This window comes from Homo sapiens, chromosome 2, assembly GCF_000001405.40.
Source record: "Homo sapiens chromosome 2, GRCh38.p14 Primary Assembly".
NCBI classification, from domain to species: Eukaryota; Metazoa; Chordata; class Mammalia; order Primates; family Hominidae; genus Homo; species Homo sapiens.
Window position 1 is genome coordinate 215,831,235 of NC_000002.12, and position 21,235 is coordinate 215,852,469.

Below are 21,235 nucleotides of genomic sequence, written 5' to 3' on the forward strand. Positions count from 1 at the left end.
CAAATGGTATTTCCAGTTCCAAATCTTTGAGAAATTGCCACACTGTCTTCCACAATGATTGAACTAATTTAACTTTAAAAAATTTTTATTGGCAGTACTCTCTGAGAGACTAGAGTTATACATTAACAAGGCCAGACGTTACCATTTACATGAGAGCAAAGACCAAAAATAATAACTGCAGACCAGAGACATACCAGCCAAAATGATGTGGATGGGCAGACCTTCTTTTTCAAAGCAAGGCTTCTAGGAAGCAAGCAGCGTGTTCACATGCATTCTGACACAGGCTTCTTATCTCTTCGTGGCTGAGTAGCAAACAATTCAAATACTGGCTTCTTTGAGGAACACTTTCAGAGAAACCGAAAGTCACAGCACTACCAAAGCTGCTGATTTTGAGATGCTGATGCAATGTTTTGCTCTTCTTTAAGTAAGGGAGAATTTCCTCTTCCCCTTTGGCATGGATAACAAAGTAATGCTGCCTCCTGCTCCCAATGACCCCTCTCCTTAAGACTCAGGCACAAGCCCATGGGACCTGGGCCAGAGGACAGTCTGGAAAGTAGATACTGTGAGTTGTTCCGCATCTCTTACACTCCAGCAGCAAGGCATTTTCTTTGCTACATTATTATTTCTCTTAAAAAGTGTTGTTTCCCAACCAAGGGTCTGGCCATGCCTGGGATGCCTGGAAGACCATCAAATGTCACCAGCCTGGAATGCGTGGAGGACCATCACCTCTACCTCCCCCCTCAAACCATGGCATTGACTAACATACTTAAGGAAACAAGATGCTGACAATATCGGCTGGGTAGACCCAGTTAATTCCCCACTAAGTACACCCAATTGATTTCCCTACCTTTGAAGGTGCATTTTTTAAGGGCATTAGAAAGATTTGTTGATAACAATAAAGGCTATATTATGGAATTAACTATAGTTTACTAAATAACACTACCATACATTTACACACAAAAAAAATGCAAATGATATAGTACTAGCACCAGGATATGACACTGATATTCTCTATCAATCCTTCCTCAGTAGCATATCGGTAAATTCCACATGTAGCTAAAGAAATATCTCTCCATTTTTTTTTTTCAAATTATCTTCCACTGTTCTGCTGCTGTGGCGGCATTGCTTACTGACTCTCTTTACCTCCATATGAGTTCGCACCCCATTCTGTACCAGACCATTACTTCCTTCTATCAGGGCTTGTATTCATCTGTTCATTCATTCAACAAATACAGTTTAGGGTCTTCCATGTGCTGGAGTATTGTTGTAGGTATTGGAGATACAAAGATAAAGCAGATACAGCCCCTTCCAGTTTCTCTAGGATCAGGCAGCACGGAAGACTGAAAAAGGAAATGAATCTTGTACTGAGTTTTTTAACTACTTTATTTCATTTTGTATTTGTCTTCAAGATCACTTTATTGTCAAGTACGATTATTATTTTTTTTTAGACAAAGTCTTGATCTGTCACCCAGGCTGGAGTGCAGTGGCACGATCTCAGCTCACTGCAACCTCCACCTCCCAGCTTCAAGTGAATCTCCTGCCTCAGCCTTCCAAGTAGCTGAGACTACAAGCACGTACCACCACATCCAGCTTATTTTTATATTTTTAGTAGAGAGAGGTGAGGTTTCGCCACGTTGGCCAGGCTGAGCTCGAACTCCTGACCTCAGTTGATCCACCTGCCTCGGCCTCCCAAAGTGCTGGGGTTACAGGCATAAGGATTTTAATTGACATAAGCAAATGAGAGAAAAACAAAGGTAGATTTGTGAAATAAAAGATGACTTTATGCCAAATGAAAGCGAAGGAGGTTCAGGTGCCAAGGTCTCTATAGTTCAAATGGAGAAGTGGTGGAGAAATTGGGGCCACTCCAATGCCTTGTGCAACAGCATAAGCATGCCAAATTCCAAAACCTGTACCATGACAGCCAGTAATACATTCACACTGTGAGTAGCAGTTTAAATTTCTCAAAACTTCATCTGTCACACCAAATTTATGTTGTTAATTTGAGTTTTACTGGTTTTAGAGTTTTTTTCTTCAGTTTGTAAATTTATTTCAGTTTTATAATTAGAAGAGCTATAAGCATCAGCCTTTACACCCAGCTTTATGTTTGCACTTATGTAAGTAACATTGTCATTAAATTAACAATGACACTGAGGAAAACTGTTCCTCATGTTCACATAAGCTTTGGAAACTAATCTTTTACATTAACAGTGGTTGTTCCTAGCCATGGAGTTATCATTCCAGCTCCTATTGATGGAATCAGCCCTGTTTTCAATTTTTTAGTTGATCAGAGATGAAAGAAACGGTCCCTTTTTGTTTTCTAGAGGCTTGAGGGGACACTTCTGGCCTTCTATGTGCAGGGACTATAATTTCCCTCAAATTTATCGGTGAAAGAAAATGGTCAGTTGAGAGTTGGCAAACATGTGAAAACAATAAAGCAGAAAGGAAAACCCAATTCAGTCCATTGCCTCAAAGAATAGGGAAAAGGCTGTGTTTTCTGATAACATATCTCATGGGAGACACCAAGGGACTACTGCAGTCTGCATAGGCATGGGGAGAAGCCATGTTTTACATTACAGGTCTAGAAAGTGAAATTGAACATTGCAATCTATACCTACCCATTTGTCTCCCTATCTCTAAAAAACACATATGAGGAAAACAGTTTTGTTCTACATGGTGTCCAAAGGTTTGTCTTCAGACCTGCGCTGGTCTATGGAAAAATTTTCACTGGTCTTCAACAAAACGAGGAAGATAAGGTCAACACAGTGTTTATATAAGTATGTTGGTGTAAGGTTACCAGCTGTTCCCAGGAAGAACTGTTCTTTGTTCTAAGATGTGATGTAACCCTAGCCACACACATGCTTAAAGCAAGCGTTTCCTCCAGGTTAGGAATCAAACACATTCATGGACTTCTGGCCTTCCAAAATCACAAAGTACTGCAAAATAATGTTACATGCTAGCATTTTATAATATAATAAAATTATTATATTATAAAATTAAATTTATTTTATAAAATTATGTTGAGTAGAGTTCCTTTTATTTTTTATTTATTTGGACATGTAAAAAAATTACTTTTCTGTTTTGTTTTTGCTTTTTGCAGTTTTACTGGTTCGTGAAAGTTCAAGAACCATAGAGTAACGACAAGAGCTGTGACTTAGAGGTAAAGAAAATGGGGTTCTAACCTGAGCTTCACTACCTCGGGAAAGCTGCTTAGCCTTTCACAGTCTCAGGGCCCTCATACAAAAAAGAGACGATAGCATCATCCTTCATAGAGCCACATGTGAGGATTCATGAAACATACATAAAGCATCTGAGCACTTAATAAATGGACGTTATCATCATTGGTAGCTATCAGCTCTTGGTTTTCTTTCTTTCTTTTCTTTTTCTTTTTTTTTTTTTTTTTTTTTTTTTTTGAGACAGTCACTCTATCACCCAGCAGTGGCACAATCTCGACTCACTGCAATCTCCATCTCCCAGGTTCAAGCGATTCTTGTGCCTCAGCCTCCCAAGTACCTGGGATTACAGGTATATGCCATCATATCCAGCTAATTTTTGTTTGTTTGTTTTTGTTTTTGTTTTTTTTTTTAGATTGAGTCTCACAGTGTTGCCCAGGCTGGAGTGCAGTGGTGCAATCTTGGCTCACTGCAACCTCCGCCTCCCAGGTTCAAGTGATTCTCCTGCCTCAGCCTCCCAAGTACACACCTAGCTAATTTTCGTATTTTTAGTAGAGATGGGGTTTCACCATGTTGGCCAGGCTGGTCTCAAACTCCTGACCTCAGGTGATATGCCCGCCTCAGCCTCCCAAAGTGCTGGGATTATAGGCATGAGCCACTGTGCATGGCCCAGCCCTTGGTTTTTCATACATTCGATATAAATTCAGTGATCAAGATGTTTAACTGAGAAGACTCAACATCCTTTAAAATCAGGCAAAGCATAGGACCACACTACCTAACCTAAATAGTTACTTTATTTTTTCTGAACTAAAACCAGTCTCTATCTACACATATATCAAAATAGATTAAAGAGAAAGAAATTAATACATTTAGTGTCTTTTTTGCCTACAAAAAAAACCCAGCTACAGTATTGAAGCTGATGTTTTTGAACTTAATTTGACATCACTTCAGACAACAGCTCCCAACATCCTTTGATGAAAACCTATTTAACTGGGCATAGACATGCTGAGACAAAACAATACACCATATTTTTTAAAATAAATTTTCAACATTAAAAAAAAACTTTAGAGGACCAAAGGAAACAGGAACTAGGATACTTGCCCAGAACAACAAGAAATGATTACTTAAAATCAGATATATTTATGTCATTAAAATTTAATGTATGACGCTCACTCCTTTATATGAATTATTTCAAAACACTATAAGGACATGCTTAATGGGCAGGTAATCTTCACTGGTCTTATTTACCTAAAGATTTTTTTCAATGATAAATAGGTCTAAATATAAACTAAGTTCTTAAGAAAATATAGATGTTAATAGATTTATGTTGAGGAGACTACGTGTTCTTCCTTGTTTGAATAATGTTCAGTGACTGTTTTTTAGCCACTGGGAAAATAGCTCAGTTTTATTCTAAACAGACTCCAACTGAGAAAATAATACAAGACACTTCTTTGTTTATCTGGGGATTTGAGAGTTCTGGAAGTTCATGTAGGTTTCATGAGTGAAAGAATCAACAGTCTTTCTTTCCATAGACATGTCAAATTAGTTGCTCCCTAAATCAAAACATGGCATGGTACAAATTGGGGTCTTGATGTGGCACATTTCTGACATGCTCCTCATGAATACATGTTTTTAATTCAGCAAGTTATTCATCTGGGCTCAGCAAATAGGCCCCTTACCTGTTCCTTAAGTCTTTCCACTGAGCTGTGTTTTCTTTTCCCTTTGCAATTTGCAGTGACTTAGCAACTGATAAATGAGCCCTGGCTTGAGCACCATTTGACCATTAAATAATGCCTAGGGAAGTATATTAGACGAAAATTATGGGCTCTGCACAGAGAAGGCCAGAGAGCCTCTAGATAACTTCGAAACAAGGGCATCAGATGGCAGAACTCTCTACCCTCTACTGCATAGCCCACCCACCTTGGTTTTGTTTACCCCTAACCCAAGCCAAGTGACATCACATCGCTCCCCTAAATCAGCTCCAGAGAACTTTTTGATCCCGAGTATTCCCTCATGGTACATCCTGCAAACATATATTAATCTTGAAGAAAAACAGATCCTTGCCTTAGGAAGCTATCCTTTTTTTTTCTTTGAAGATAGGCTAATTTCAGATATAATTTCTGAATTGAAGAGTTGAGATTGTAATGTTATTTTCTTTTTCAATTTGTTGAACAACTTCAGTGAACTAAATCTGGCAGGGATCTGGCAGAGAAATTGTTTCACTCAATCCTCTCAATCTGCAGAGGCAGAATTTCCCAGTGTGTATGTTCTCACTCGTGTAAACACAGATAGTCATTTGTCGTTGCACCCTAAGAAATGAGACCTCTATGTATCCCAAGGATTTAGTTCTTAGAGATAACTCTATCCTCACAGCCCAAATGGACTTAAAATTTGAACTTTTCAGAAGTAGGTTTGAAAAGGTGGAACAATCAAAACCCTAAGCAATGCCTTTCTTCATTCCCATGAGATTGAAAGACGGTAGTCAAGTCTTTTTAATCTTGTAAAATTCCATGCATTAACTCCTTTATATGCAGAGGGCAATAAATCACAAAGTTATTTCAAGCATTCACTTACTAAATTACTTTCTTCTTTTTTTCATTTTCCACCTTAATTTGATAATGCTACCAATTAAAATGCTACCTATCGGTTTAAGAAATCTATAGACTTTTAGATGGTTTCCATTTTGGAAAGAAATCAATACATTACAGAAACAGAGCTCATTAGTGGCAAACAGTCAAAGGTGGATTCTATTGACATTATCCAAATCCTACTCATTCCCTAAGAATAAACTTCGATCCTGGCTTCTCCATGGAAATTCTTCCCAATTACCCAGTTTGAAAGGGTCGCTACTTTCCTGAAATGCCAAGTAACTTAATATTTGTAATTAGTCAAGAACAGTCTAGGAACATGATTATATTGGTCTCTGGAGGCTTTTTACATTTTGGATGTCATTTTACTTCTAATGTCTTTTTACCTTGTCCCCTCATCTAGCTGGTAAACAAACTCCTCTCATGCACAGACCACGAATTACAATTCTTCGTGTCTGCCTCCCATACAATCTCTTAATTCAAAATAATATTGTACTATCACATGCCAGTCAGTGTACTGAGTAAAAGGGGGACAAAGACATCATAATTAAGTTTTTCACTTCAAGGGGCTTAAATTCTTAAATTCTGATACGAGAAGAAAACATGCAAATGCAAAAACAACTCAATAAGACAACATGTCAACCCCGTCTCTACTAAAAATGCATAAATTAGCCGGGCGTGGTGGCGCATGCCTGCAATCCCAGCTACTGGGGAGGCCCAGGCAGGAGAATGGCTTGAGCCCAGGAGGCAGAAGTTGCAGTGAGCCGAGATCGCGCCATTGCACTCCAGCCTGGGTGACAGAGTGAGACCCCATCTCAAAAAAAAAAAAAACAACATGTCAACGAATCCCGAAGGGAGAATATACAGGGAATGGCACAGAGGTGGAAGGGGTCAGTTTTGTAGGTTGTCTATAAATATATGTTGATATAAATTAATATATAAGACAGACATTTGCAGCAATTTTCATTCATTTGTTCCACAAATAATTACTGAGTATCTAAAATGTGTCACCAGTTGTGCTTAATGTTGAAGATGCAAGGAGGAACAAGACACATGTGGTCCTTGTTCTCATGATGCATAGAACTTTGGGAGTTTAGACAAAATACAAATAAGCAAACAAAACAGCTGTAAATTTTGATAAGTGCTTTGAAAGGAACACAAAGATAATTGAAATAGAGAAAAATAAGGAGCAAACTCCTTTAGTAAGAGTGACCAAGAAGTGTCTCTCTGAAGGGAAGCCAGCCCAGAAATAGTAGAGGGGAAATTATTCTGAGATGGAGAGAAGCATGTGCAAAAGTCCTGGGGAAAGAAAAGACCAAAGGAAAATCTCTATGGCTGGAACAGGATGTGTGAGGAGGCAAGAGGTTCAGATTACATGGTTTAAATGGAAAAATAAGAGCAGTTTCTAGATGAGGTCCTAAAAGAAGTTTACTCCTGGGGCTGTCTCCTGTATGAACAAGCTGTCCCATGTTATCTAGGTGAAGAGATGGGAGGGGACCCATCTTAACATTAACAGTAATACTCTACACAAGCAGTCTTACTTTTAATGCCACATAGGGGCCAGTTTGAATGCTTGCACTTGTATTTCAACCGTGTATATGTGTGTGTGTGTGTGTGTGTGTGTGTGTGTGTGTGTGCGATCTACATCTCACATTCTTGTTTGGAAGCAAGTTTACTCTTTTATCTAAAGTGTTCCAATGAACTATGATCATCACCTGTTAACTATGATCAGCCTTCCATATCTGTGGGTTCTGAATCCATAGGTTCAACCAACTACAAATCCAAAACATTTGAAAAAAATTTATGTCTGTACTGAACAGGTACAAGCCTTTTTCTTGTCGTTATTCCCTAAACAATATAGTATAACAACTACTTACATAGCATTTACATTGTAGTAGGTATTATAAGTAATCTACAGATGATGTAAAGTGTACAGGAGGATGTGTTTTGCATAGGTTATATGCAAATACAACACTATTTTATATCAGGGACTTGAGCATCTTCAGATTTCAATATCCAAGGGAGGTCTTGAAACCAATTCCCTGCAGATACCAAAGGATGACTGCACATCCTCCTTTGGTTAATTTTCTATATTGAGTCCAGGAGTTTCTACCTTTGGTAATAATAAGAGGAATAAACTAAATGGATTATTTGGATAATCCACTGTTAATTATATTTATTCTCTCTACGATATGCTGACTGATGACAGAATTAGCACACCTTCTCTGGACTATTGGCCTCAAGACTGCATTCTGTTTTGAGATTTAAAAAATTTAACTCAGATTTTTCTAAGGGAATAGAGGGAATGCACTTTTTCTCTTTTCACTCTATTTTCTTCCTGTTTTAGAAGCCTGAATCTGTCTGGGCAAATCCTCATTATCTGCAGGGGATGAGGCCAGAGTTGGAGGAGCAGGACCTGCCAGGGTAAAAAGACAGGTGGAGGAGCTGGCAGGAAGCTGGGCAGAAGTCAGCTTCAGGAAGACCTGCCAGCAGTTGAGCTCCAGCTGCTATGTGTAGTTCAGGAGCTGGGTGGCTGGATCCAGCATCCACAATTAGGCCTGGGAAGAACAAGGCAAGCCTCAGTCCTAAGGGAATCAAACTATGGGAAAATTATCAAGCAAGAACTGAAGTACAAAAATTAAGGCTTCAGAACTGAGACAGAAGGTTGGGGACAGAATGGTAGTAACGAGAGAGATGTATTCTGAGCCCCAGGGTGCTGGGATGAAGTTCTTTAAATTCTGGAGTGAGATTCAGCTGGAATATTCTGGTTAGTGTATTGAAACAGTACCGTCCTGGCTGGCAATGAGCTACTTCTTGTAGCTCCCCCTTCCCTCTCCTCCACCCTCAACAGGTGGCCCCTTCCCCTTGCTCTGTTTCAACCACCTACAAACACCTAGGCCACTCCCCCGACAGCCACTGTCTAATAGCCAACAGTCCCTTCCCAGTACTTCAACTCAGTACACAGGGTGCACTGGCCTCCCTGTGGGCAAATGCTGACCAGCTCTCTGTCCGCCATCACCACCCCAAGTTGTGGCTGCCCATCAGCCTTTCCCTGGAGTTGCCCCACGTGGTTCTGTGTTGCAACTGCAACCTCTACCCTAGGCTGCCACCACCTACCCATTGTTCAATATATTTAATATCGCCTGCACCCAAATCTCTACTTTTAGGCCAGGATTAATCCTAGACACACACACACATTCACATACCCCCCACACACACACAGAGGGTTAAAACTACAGTTAAAAGTGCTAGGCCAGATGAAGGCAATAAAATAATAACATCAGCTGTGGAGAGAGAAAAAATGAAATAGTTGGAAACCAAGCAAGGTCTGATACAAAAAAATAAATTAAAATAAAATCTGAGCTTTGTAGTTCTCAGACACAGGTATACGGAATAATTACATCAGAGGGTCTTAAAATGCAGATGTCCAGACCTCGAGACCCAGACTGAATCAGGAACTCTGAGGGTCCCTCATGGAGACCACTGTGCACAGCAGAGCATGGCTCTGCTCTAGATTATTTCTTTAAAAAAAAAAATGGAGTCTCACTCTGTCATCCAGGCTAGAGTGCAGTGGTGTGGTCTCAGCTCACTGCAACCACCGCCTCCCAGGTTCAAGCAATTCTCCTACCTCAGCCTCCTGAGTAGCTGGGATTACAGGCACCTGCCACCATACCCAGCTAATTTTCATATTTTTAGTAGAGACAGGGTTTCACAACGTTGGTCAGGCTGGTCTCGAACTCCTGACCTCAGGTGATCCACCTGCCTCGGCCTCCCAAAGTGCTGGGATCACAGGTGTGAGCCACTGTGCCCGGCCAGCTCTAGATTATTTCTAAAGCATTATCAACCCTGTGTGGATTTCTTAAGACCTACTGCCCACCGATCCCACCTGCAGACTTTTTTGCTGATTGACCAAGCTGCCAAGAGTTGAGGTGAAACTGAAAAGAGGAAGGGTAAAAATAACCACAAAGACAAAAATTGAAATAAATGACAAATGAATGAATACTGTATTAAGAAAAGTGTAAAGCAATCTCTCTACTGGGTGACATAAACTATTGTCTTCAAATTATTTTTACTACCAAACAAGGTTATAGGTTTAGGGTTTTTTGTTTTGTGAGGTTTGTTTGTTTTTTTTTTTTTTACAAGCAAAGAAAAAATGAAATATTATCTTCAAAATGTACTTTCCTTGAGTCTGTGTGGCTATTCATTATTCAAGATAACATCACACAGAGCAAATGAAAAAGAGCTGATTGTGAAAAATTATCTGTGAGAATCCTACTGGGAAGAAAAGTCCACGTGAAGAAAAATTGTAAAGGGTTTAGAGCTCATAAAGAATCAACTGAAATAATGTTCAGTGCAAAATTTATCATGTGATAAAAGTTTATGATCATGTGTAATACTCAAAATAAATGGAACAAATCAATGTCAGTATACCTGCTTTCCTTCCTTCCTTCTGTAAGAAGTCTGTACTCTCTTCTGGACATTCCTGCCAGCCCGGCAGGGTCTGTGGCCCTGTGACCTCAGCAGCTGGCCTCTCCCTCCCTCCCTTCTCCTTCCTGTCCTGTCCCTCCACACATCCACACATCTGGATGCCCCTCAGGTCAAGCAGCGGCCTGGCTAAGCAGCCAGAAACAAGGCTTGGATTCCACAGGGCTGCAACTTGGGTACAGCTGCAATAAACTTATCTGCTAAAGGAAGTCAAGACTCAAGTTCAGGGAAACCCTGGTCTGAACACCTAGTCCAAAGGGCTATAGAGCTATAAGTGTGTTGTCAGGCTTCTGCCAGTCAAAACAATAGAAAATTCAGGAGCAGGCCGGGCACGGTGTCTCACGTCTGTAATCCCAACACTTTGGGAGGCCGAGGTGGGCGGATAACCTGAGGTCAGGAGTTCGAGACCAGCCTGACCAACATGGAGAAACCCCTTCTCTACTAAAAATACAAAATTAGCTGGGTGTGGAGGTGCATGTCTGTAATCCCAGCTACCCAGGAGGCTGAGGCAGGAGAATTGCTTGAACCCAGGAGGCAGAGGTTGCCGTGAGCCGGGATAGCACCACTGCACTCCAGCCTGGGCAACAAGAGCAAAACTCCGTCTCAAAAAAAATAAAAAATAAAAGAAAATAAAAGAAAGTTTGGGACTGAAAGGAAGGTTCTGAGAGTGCAGCTCTTTGGTGGTGGCAGGTTTCTGAATGGGCTGGTGGCAGGATGGGACACCTACCAGGTAAGTCTTCCCCTGTCTTCCTGTGTCTCAGCACTGACCATGTTACTGCCTTACTGGAAAACCTCAATGCCCCTCATTCCCCATCCAATAAAGGCCCCTCATGTTCTGGCACTATGTTTCCTTTCCAATCTTATCTCCCATTATTCATTCATACAAGCCCTGAACAAAATTTGTTAAGTTCCTAATGTATGTCAGTTTCTTAAGTGCTAGAGTCAGAGATGATCAGAAGCACTGTTTTCATCTTCCCAAAATCCACAACTAGAAGGCAGGCAGTCCAGAAACCAATCACTTGGGTGTCTAACAGGCGTCTTGAAATTACATGTTCAAAATTGATTTGATCTTCCCTCTCAAACCTGTTCTTCCCACAGCCTTTCCCACTTCAGCAAATGACAATGGTCTTCCTTCCATTTCTTCAAGTCAGTCTTGGAGCCACTCTTGACTCCTTTCTCTTTCTCTTACAGCTTGTTTCAGCAAGTCCAGCTGGCTCTGCCTTCAAAATACAACCAGGATCTCATCACCTCTCACCAACTCACTGCCACCACCATGACCCAAGCCACCATGCTCGTTTCCTGGGTTACTGCTCTAGCCTCCAAACTGTCTCCCAGCTTCCATCCCTGCCCCTCTATAGTAAATTTTCAACATGGCAAGCAAAGCAATCCTTTATATTTTAATATAAGACAGGTCACGTCTGTAGCCTACCTGCTCAAAATCTTCCACTGGCTTCTCATCTCATTCAAAATGAAAGCCAAAGGCATTCAGGTCGTGTCTAGGACCATGCATCCTCTGGCCCCCACTTCTTTTCCCATTAAAAGTACTTATTGTACCACCACCACTCTCCCTCCTCTCACTCTGCTCCCACGGGTGTGTTTCTCAAACACCATCATGTCCCACCTCTGGATCTTTCCTCCAGCTGCTCCCTCTGCCTGGAATACTCTTCCCTAGGATAGGCTCATGGTTCACTCTCTCACCTCCTTTGGGTCTCTGCTCAACCATCACCTTCTGAGAGAACTTCTCCAACCACCTTGCACAAAATAACACTATCTTTCCCAAGCACTCCCTACTTTCCTTACTTAATCTGATTTATTTTTCAACATTGTACTTATTTTCATTTGACATACCTTCTATTTGTGTTATCTGTTCATTGTTCATCTTCCCCATTTGAATAGAAGACACAGGAGTTCAGAGACTTTGTCTGCTTTCTTCACTGCTGTCTCCCCTGCACTTAGAAGAGTGCCTAGCATGTAGCGTGCTCAGTTAATACATATTGAATTGATTAGTTAACTAGCATGAATAGAGAACTGTTTTCTTTTCCTTCCAATTCCTGGATTCAGTAAAATCCTATTCATTTAGTAAAATCCTACTTGTCTTTAGTCTCAGTTTAAAGGTCACCTCTTCAAAAAGCTATACCTGACTCACCCTAGAGAATTTGGTTCCTCTGGCGTGTGCTCGTGATACTTCATTTGCTGGATGGAACATGAGTGAATGGAGTGGTGGCATTCCTGTCGGCCTCCATCTGCCAGTGTGTCATATTTCCACCTCTATTACTCATCATGGTTCTTCTGGCAGCCAGTGACTAAACCAAGTCACACAGCCAACTTGCTTTCAGAACATGAAGTTCCACTTCAGTATTAGGCTACTGTTGAGTCTCCCCCTCACTCCATCCCAGCTTGTACTACCCAGCCCTCCTCCTGGCCCCAGGCAGGGAGCTCATTCCACAGTTCTTCACTCTTTCCCCTGACAGCCCGACAATTCCTCCCTTCACCTTCCATAGGTCTTTTCCCATGAATTTCTTAAATGAAACATAGTGAGGTTATTGTTCACTATATTGGCTTGCTTATAGACATTTTAGAAAACCTCATATTGCATACTAAGATAGTCACTTAGATATGTACAAATATGGCATTTGAAATGTTCCTACAGAATTCTGGGCAACAAGCTCATGGTCCCTAAAATGATCCACTGTGAAATCAATGGTGACTTAACACTTTTTATCTCCAGTTCTTTTGCCAGAAGCATAACATATTACAAGTTCAACAAGAGCCACTTGATGAGCATGGTAGCCATGCCTGTAACCCCAGCACTTTGGGAGGCCAAAGCAGGAGAATCGCTTCAGGCCAGGAGTTCAACATAGCAAGACCCCATCTCTACAAAAACAAAACAAAACAAAACAAAACAAAAAACCATTAGCCAGATGTGGTGGCCCGCACTTGTAGTCCCAGTTACTCAGGAGGCTGAGGCATGAGGATCACTTGAGCCCAGGAGGTCAAGGCTACAGTGAGTTAAGATGGCACCACTGCACCCCAGCCTGGGTAACAGAGCCTTAAGACCCCATATCAAAAAAAACAAAGAACATTTACTTAACCTCAAAATCCGTCTCTCTAAAAGAATAGTTCATCAATGAATCAATCATTCAACATCTAATGTGTACCCAATGTTGGGTTATATGTTTCTCTTATTAGAGGAAACCAACACATGTGAAACAATGGACAGTGTAGTGGACATCACATGATTTGTTCTGCACAGAATCTGTTTTCCCTTCTGGTTTCCCTTCGGGAAAACACATGTCTCCTCCACTCTCAGTCCACTTGTTTTGGGTAGAATTGAACCTATGTTCAGTGTACGAGTAAACAGCGATCCAAGCCTGGCCAGTCAGAGCATCCCAGCCATGGCCACAGTAATTGGCCCAGGGATGGGCATATAATCCAAACCAACCCAATATGAGTAGATTCAAATACAGTATAGTAGTTAAGCAGAAGACTACCTGGGTTCAAATCCTAGCTTCACTAATTACCAGGTGTAAGAACTTGGCAAGTTATCTGCTCTTTGATGGCTCCAGTTTCTTGGGTAGGAAATTGGGAAAATAATTTCTAGCCATAGGATGGTGAGACAGTTTAGGTAAGACGATAAAGGCAAAGTGCTTAAAACCATGCTTGGTACATATTAAACTTTCCATGAATGCTAATCAACTCCATTTTTGGAACTTTTATGAAAGAGGATCTTTCTTCTGGGGCCATCTTGCTAACACATGGCAAGAGCCTGCCTAAGTCAAACCATAGAGGAGAAGCAGCTTAGGAGAAGTGATGAATCCTGGCCACATCAATTGAGTCCCAAGATCTAGATGTGCCTGATATCAACTACCCCCTGGACTTTTTGTTACGTGAACAAATACATTCTCTTTTTTTCTGAAGTAGGTTAATTTGGGTTCCTGACTCTTGCCTGAAAGAGCTCTGCCTAATACAGGCAGTGGTTCTAGGCAATGTGTAATTAAGCGCTAAATGGGTTTCATAAACAGCAGAAGAGAGCAGAATGAGGCAAGTTCAATATGGGCTACTGTAAGTAGTGAGGACAGGGATGGGGGGAGTTCACCCACCTCAAATTCTGCCAGCTCTGGCAGCTGTGTCAGAAAATATCTGGGGAGTAATTGAGATATCATTGTCCCAGAAGCAGTATATTTGTTGATCAAAGAAAACTCACCTTCTAGAAAAAATAATGCCATTACAGAGGTTTTTCTTTAGCACAAATCTCTCGCCTCCCCTCATAGCTAGAATCTAGCACTCTATCTTTTGTCCATGTGGAAATGACAACTTCCAAACCTGCAAAAATGACTCTTTCCAATAGAGTGAAGAAAGGCCTTTGGTTTTGTATCTAATAATCATGTTAGCTGGATGTAACTGACACTTTCAGAAACGACAACTTCAAAGTGATTCCTTCCAGGAAATTAGAAGGCACAGAAACCATTGCCTTATCCTGAAGTTTCCATCCAAGGCTCCGTGGGCGCCTTTAGCCCTGAGTTCAGGGAGCTGTCCCTCATCTGAAATTGTGCATGTTTACTGTAATCCTCCTCTAGAGTTTCCTGGGAGGAAATTCATTTAACATCCCTCCCTCGACCTTTCTTTTTGAGCAATTTGGTGTATCCACCTCTCAGCCTTTCCTTGAAGAAATCCAGCTATCTATCCTTTTTTCTATGTTGAAAATAAAAGAGAATCTGTCTTTTTCACAATGCGGTGAGCAGGTTATATACAGCATGACAAAAGCATCATTTCATAGGCCTACGGTTTGAAGTTGATAAGAGGTTTTCAGGAACAAAGGGGTATTTCAAGTGAGTGAGCAAGACAGAGAGAGTGAAAGTGAGAGTAACAGCCAGTCTCACTTCTTCCAAATTACTTCCATTTTTCTCAGGGAACAGTCATCAGAGACATTCTCATTTAGAAAATTCATTACAATTTTATTACCTAAAAATTGCTCAACACATACCAACAACCATAAAGGATATACCGAAAGTGGAAATGCCCACTGTGTTACTCTTAAGGTTAGTATCCGTTGCCAGATTCACCCTTGCTTTATTAAGGTTGCAATATTTAGCTTTTGGGTTTACTAAACGAAAGAAAGAAAGAAAGAAAGGAAAAGAAAGAAAATATTAGAAATATTTGGAAAACGCCTTCTAAAAAGAAGATGTAAAGACAATAGATCAGAGAATATCAGTGGTAGCCAGGATTTCACTGTTTATTTCTTCTACACAAACTTTTTTTTTTTTGGAGAAGAGTCTCGCTCTGTCACCCAGGCTGGAGGCTGGAGTACAGTGGCACAGTCTTGGCTCACTGCAACTTCTGCCTCCTGGGTTCCAGCTATTCTTATGCTTCAGCCACCTGAGTAACTGGGATTACAGGCGCACATACCTTTTAAAAAGCAGACCACAAACAAATTTATATGCACAATTCTCTGCTATTAATACAAACAACAAAAATGTTGGAATCTACCCTCGAGGAAGGCTCAAAAGTGATTATTCGTGAATGTCGTGAATGTCTTTGTCACCCGCTCATTTCTGGCAGTGGTGCCAAGACAAAAGCCCTGAGCTCCTCTCCACTCTCCGTTAGAATTATCTCCCTTCTTCTCATGGCTATTGCTCTAATGGCTGTAGGTTTGAACACAGATTAAATGATTTTCTCCTTGACTTGCTGAGTATGGATAAACTGGAAGGAAGAAGGGTTGAAGGAGAGTCTGGTAAGAGGCCTGTGATGCTTGTAGGCTGCACAGGCTTGAAGCAGGTCAGCTGCACTGTGGCGGCTGATGACATCCTCCTGGAAGGATGCTCTGCCTAACATTCAGTAGCTCTTGCCTGTAACTGTGACGCCTAAAGCTAAAACAACATAGGGCTAACTGCCTGACTTTTCCTAGGCCTGAGACTTTGAGCATTGACAGTTTAAAATAAATTCATCCAAGACTAGAAATGCTATGAATGTACAGGTGTGATTAGGCACAATTAAAAGGAAATGAAATGGGCTCTTTCTCACCAGTTAATTAAATTAAATATAAATTTAATTTAGTTAAATTTAGTTAAATTAAGCCAAGAGTAAATCCCCTGTACTTTCTTCTCAGATCCTGTAAAGACACTTTCCACATCCTCCTCATTGCAGTTTTGAGACCATCTGGGGTTGCCAGTATCCTTCGACTGATGTGGGACCAGTAAATCTCAACTCCACCAAATCCAATGCCCCCTTTTAACAATTATATCTCTTTTATCGTCATGAAGTAGAATCCATAGGTAGTATATCCTATGATATGGCTTGGATGTGTGTTCTCTCCAATCTCATGTTGAAATGTGATCACCAGTGTTGGAGGTGGGGCCTAATGGGAGATGATTAAGTCATGGGGGTGTGTCCCTCATGAATAGCTTGGTGCTATCCTCACAGTAACAAATAATTTCTTATTCTATGAGTTCATGCATTATCTACTTGTTTAAAAGAGACTGACACTTCCTTCCTCTCTCACGCTCCTTCTCTCTTGCTTCCTTTCTCTCCATGTGACACATCTGTTCCCCCTTTGCCTTCTGCTATGAGCAGGCGCTTCCTGAGGCCTCACCAGAAGCAGAGGCTGACGCCACGCTTCTTACACAGCCTGCAGAACCGTGAGCCAATTAGACCCCTTTTCTCTGTAAATTACCCAGCCTCAGATATTTCTTCATGGCAGTTCAAATGGACTAATGTACCCTATCTACCAACTAAAATTTTAAAATAAATAAACATCACGAGTAAACTGAAATATCAAGGAGACATACGGGGAAGGTCATTTAGAATATATTATCACAGCTGCACTAGAAGACATCTACAGTTGTCAGACACTGCCTTTCGTCATAAAACTAGAATGCTACTGTGAATGCTACTGATGCCTTATCCCATGAGCATTTGGAATGCATCTGAAATGGTGCACTTCTCATAGTCAAGGTCCAAAGAAAACAAAACACAATATTTGTAGTTTACCCAATAATTACACTCTTGGAAAATTCAGTGTATATTAAAACTATACAGAAAACAGTTTGCTTTCATATGTTAAATAGAGTTCTGCTTTAGACTCAGATAATTGCAAACATGCTTCTCATCTATATGAAAGTTCAGGGAGTTTAAGTTGTACAGGACAGCGTGAAGCAGGTTCACTGTGCACTGGTTACCACTTCAGCCCACTGAGTCTTGGGCTGCACTTACACTACTTGCCCAAGTCTGCTCAGACAAAACATTCACTCACACAAATTACATGAAGTTGGTTTATTACTCACAGATAGGTGACAAGGGTCACCAGAAGCCTAGGAGTCATTTCAAGCCTGTCCTCCAGGGCTCAGGAAAGCTGCCTGGGGTGGACGGAGTCTCATCTGCATGTGCCCCCTTTGTTGAAGGGCCTCAGCACGCAGCCCAGTCTGGGTTTTATACCCCAAGATAACATGACACACTGGACTAAAGCATTTAAGGATATCCTGTTTTCAGGGGGGACTAGAACAGAGAGTCCAGGCTATTCTGGCTGGTTCCTCCCTATCACAGAATGTTGCATTCCCAACACATTCTACAGTTACTCATAAGAACTACAAGGAAGAAAGGAAGGAGAATTGGGTCAGTCTAAGGCCACCCAGAGAACCATCCTACAGACAGGGGACAATACTTTGTTCCATAGGATAAACCTCAGTGTTACAGGACATGTGGCCACTGGCCTCTGGCAACCATTGTGACACCCAGTCCCTCCTCTCAAACACACAAATCTCCAAAATGACATCCAGGATCCATACCCTCCATCTCCCACTGGGGACATTTTGGTGATCTCAACGCAGTTCTCTAATAAACTCATCTCTGCTTAAAAATAATGAAAATCTTTATTCCTATAGGAGATGGAAACTTAAATATCTGTTCTAATCCTTTTGTTTGAAAGAAGAAAGCTGACAGGATTGTTAAGTTATGTCATACAGTGACACAGTGGCACATTCAGAGCTGGAACTCAGGTCTCCTAAGGCTCTCCTGAATCCTATGGTCATTCCCGAGTTAAATGTTGACTGTGAAAATCATCATTTCTTCAAAGAATCACTTTAAGCAGCTGTATTTTATTTCACTAAGTTTACAAAGTGCATTACTTGTTATTGCTCCTTCCTCACACGCCACCTCTACCTAGAAAATTGATTCCGCAATGACCATGAGTAATTATCGATCATGTAAAAAAGCAAGTCAGGTACTTGGCACAAAGTCACCCAGTAATAGGGGCCAGTTTCCTTTTGAATCCCTCAGTTGGTGACACAGGATGGTATTAGAGTTTTGGAACCATGCAGAAATTGTTTTTGGTAATTTTCAAGACCTTCTCCCACTGCGTGAGTTTTGAGAATCTTCAAAACAGTCGAGTGAGGTTAGTATTTTTATCCCCTTCACAAATAACGAAACAAGTCCCTGAGAAGTGAGGGAATTTGTCCAAGGTCACGTAGCTTACAAGCGAAAGGTCAGAATCTTAGCCCAAGTCTCCTTATCTCCAAAACCATATCCCTTCCAGTAATCTGTGCTTCTTATTCTCAATAAATATGCATTCCCTCTCCTTCATTTTCATTTCCTTCCTGAGGTGGTGTTCTATTTATTCTTTTTCATTTATCGGTCAAACCAGACAAAAAGAGAAAAATATTAGCACTCCTGTATATCTACAAGATAGAAGTATTTTTAATTAGTAAAACGGGATCTCCTTCATTTGAGATCCTTTGTTTGTGTTGTTAAATAATATGGCTACTGTATTGCTTAAGAAACCAACTCTAACTTAAATAAATAAATAAAAAAGAAATCAATGCAAGCATATTGGGATGTCTTGTGGAATCTAAGAAATAGTGGGCAAGCCAATTCTCAGAGAAGTGGAACAAGGAGAGCCAGGGACCTTGCCAGCAATGGTCCCTGCATCTTCTCTTGCAGGCCTGGGGTCTCTGTAGGTGTGATCCCACTTCCGACCACTCCTGGTTTCTGTGTCTGTCATTTCAAGTTTGAATCTTCATAAGCATTAACCTGAATTACCCTTCTTGGGACCAGTCACTTAGGACCAGTACGTAAGGTCAAGTAGAAAACAGCAGCAGCTGGGAGTCCACTCCTGTGAGAAAACCAGACATTTCTCAGAGGAAAGAGACAGGACAGCCAAATCATTCATTGTTTATACAACAGAAAAGGGCAAAGATGAGAACATGTTAACCAGGAAAATCATCGAGACTTGATGAAAGAAAGATCAGATACAAATGTACGGAAGTCTAAATATCTAGGTTTCAATTAGATATTCAAAGATGAAACAAAGCAGTCACTCTTATGTTTTGTAAAAGTATCCTCTATGTAAAAGACCTTTAAAAATATAAGTGTGATCTAAACAAAACCATATCTGAGGCCCAAGATGAACTCTGAGCTCTCAGCCAATCACTTAGTATCTTTAAATGCCTTGTATTCATAGGTATGAGCTGTCTTGTGCCACCTCCACCTCCTTCTCACACCCCCATCAAACTGCAGAATTTATCTAAAAGGAAAGAGACATAAGCTAGAGTGTGGAGCAATGAGGGAGACACCACAGGCCAAGGAAAAAACCAAGACAGGATCCTGGAGAGGTGGCCTAAGACACTGAAGTCTCCAGATCATTTTAGAAGGTGACTACAAATCCCCACTGGGTGGAGAGGAAGCTGAAGGTGTCTAGTCACTTACAGATCAATAGTAGGTGCCCATGAAATACTAACTGACTGATTGATTGACAGCTCAGAACCCGCTTTGGTGGGAAAACAATATTCAACGTTATTTTTAGCCATTGGATAAACTAGCCAGCATGTTGATTCACTGCATTTTTCATTTATGATCTAATTGTTTTGGCATTACATAGTCACATCCATAGAGCATTTCAACCTTGCAAATGTGTTCATTTAATTTTCTTATTTCCAGGGGCAGAGTGTGCCTACAAAGCTCATAAATATTAATGCTTGGATCATACTTTTCCCTCTCAATCCCTCTCCCCCCATAGGTATTACTGAACAGCTAATGGGAATACATAACACTGTGTAATTACTTTTTGTTTTTAAAAGTAAAGGTACAAATTCAGGTGTTTGCGCTAGAAGCAACAATCTAATTTCTCTCGTAGGCCTATATCTCATAGTGCCACACATTCATGCAAAGAACAAGCTTAAGCTCACATTTAATAACTCCAAATGAGTTGTTTGGCACCTTTAAATAGAAAATTGGCATATAAAGGACCCCAGGGGTAGGGGGAGGGAAAAACCATCTATAGACTTTTTTCTCCTTCCTGCTGTCCCTTTCAGAATAAATTAGGGTCTTTTATTTGACTCACAAACCTACTAGGGCTACTGCTGTAACAGTGCTTGTAATTTGTCCTTGATGTATGTACCTAACACAGTGACAGTCTTTAGACAATAAAGAAGAGTCAGAATATTCCTCAAAGTAATTAGATAATTCCCATTTGCAATTCTGATATCACCTTCCAAAGCATCAAAGAGCTCAGGCTGCTGTGTACAGGAATATGCATCACCTTATGATGTTTCTGCAATTACTATTTATATTCAATGGAGACTATATACACACCTCTTTCCCTTTGTCTCCCCTCACCCCCACCCAACCCTACTGATCTTTCAAACAGTCATCATTCATACAAAGAGGTTTAATTTACAAGGAAAATAATACAAATACCACATTTGCAAATAACTTACAAAAGGTAAGTCTAACAAAAGACCTAATCTCAGCCAGTTCATTTCTTTAATGGCCAATGGAGAGAGAAAGTACAGTAAGGGAGACCTCGCTTCTCAGCAACTTAAGCCTGATGCTTTCCTGGGCTGGACCATTCTCAGAATGAGATCACTCAAAAGAGTTCGCTTATTCTGGAAGCATAGTGGATTCTCAGCAAGAAGATCTCTGATCACACTGCTATAACAAAATACCATGCATTGGATAGTTTATAAACAACAAACATGTACTGCTCACAGTCCCAGAGTCTGG

The 21,235-nt window shown here is 40.8% G+C and overlaps 1 long non-coding RNA gene across 1 annotated transcript in view, besides 2 other annotated features; it reads right to left on the reverse strand.

Annotated features, from left to right (window-relative positions):
• LINC00607 (long intergenic non-protein coding RNA 607) overlaps positions 1 to 12,302 on the reverse strand; it is a 231,974-nt gene extending 219,672 nt beyond the window's left edge. The window contains exon 1 of the long non-coding RNA NR_037195.1: positions 12,092 to 12,302. This is a non-coding gene — a long non-coding RNA (long intergenic non-protein coding RNA 607). The remainder of the gene's footprint in view (positions 1 to 12,091) is intronic.
• Positions 276 to 355: an enhancer, noted in NCBI's record as "active region_17074". NCBI's record gives its function as "activates an Ori minimal core promoter by ATAC-STARR-seq in GM12878 lymphoblastoid cells {active_cell/tissue: GM12878}" and the evidence as "EXISTENCE:reporter gene assay evidence [ECO:0000049][PMID:35858748]".
• Positions 376 to 425: an enhancer, noted in NCBI's record as "active region_17075". NCBI's record gives its function as "activates an Ori minimal core promoter by ATAC-STARR-seq in GM12878 lymphoblastoid cells {active_cell/tissue: GM12878}" and the evidence as "EXISTENCE:reporter gene assay evidence [ECO:0000049][PMID:35858748]".
• Positions 12,303 to 21,235: the final 8,933 nt, after the last annotated feature.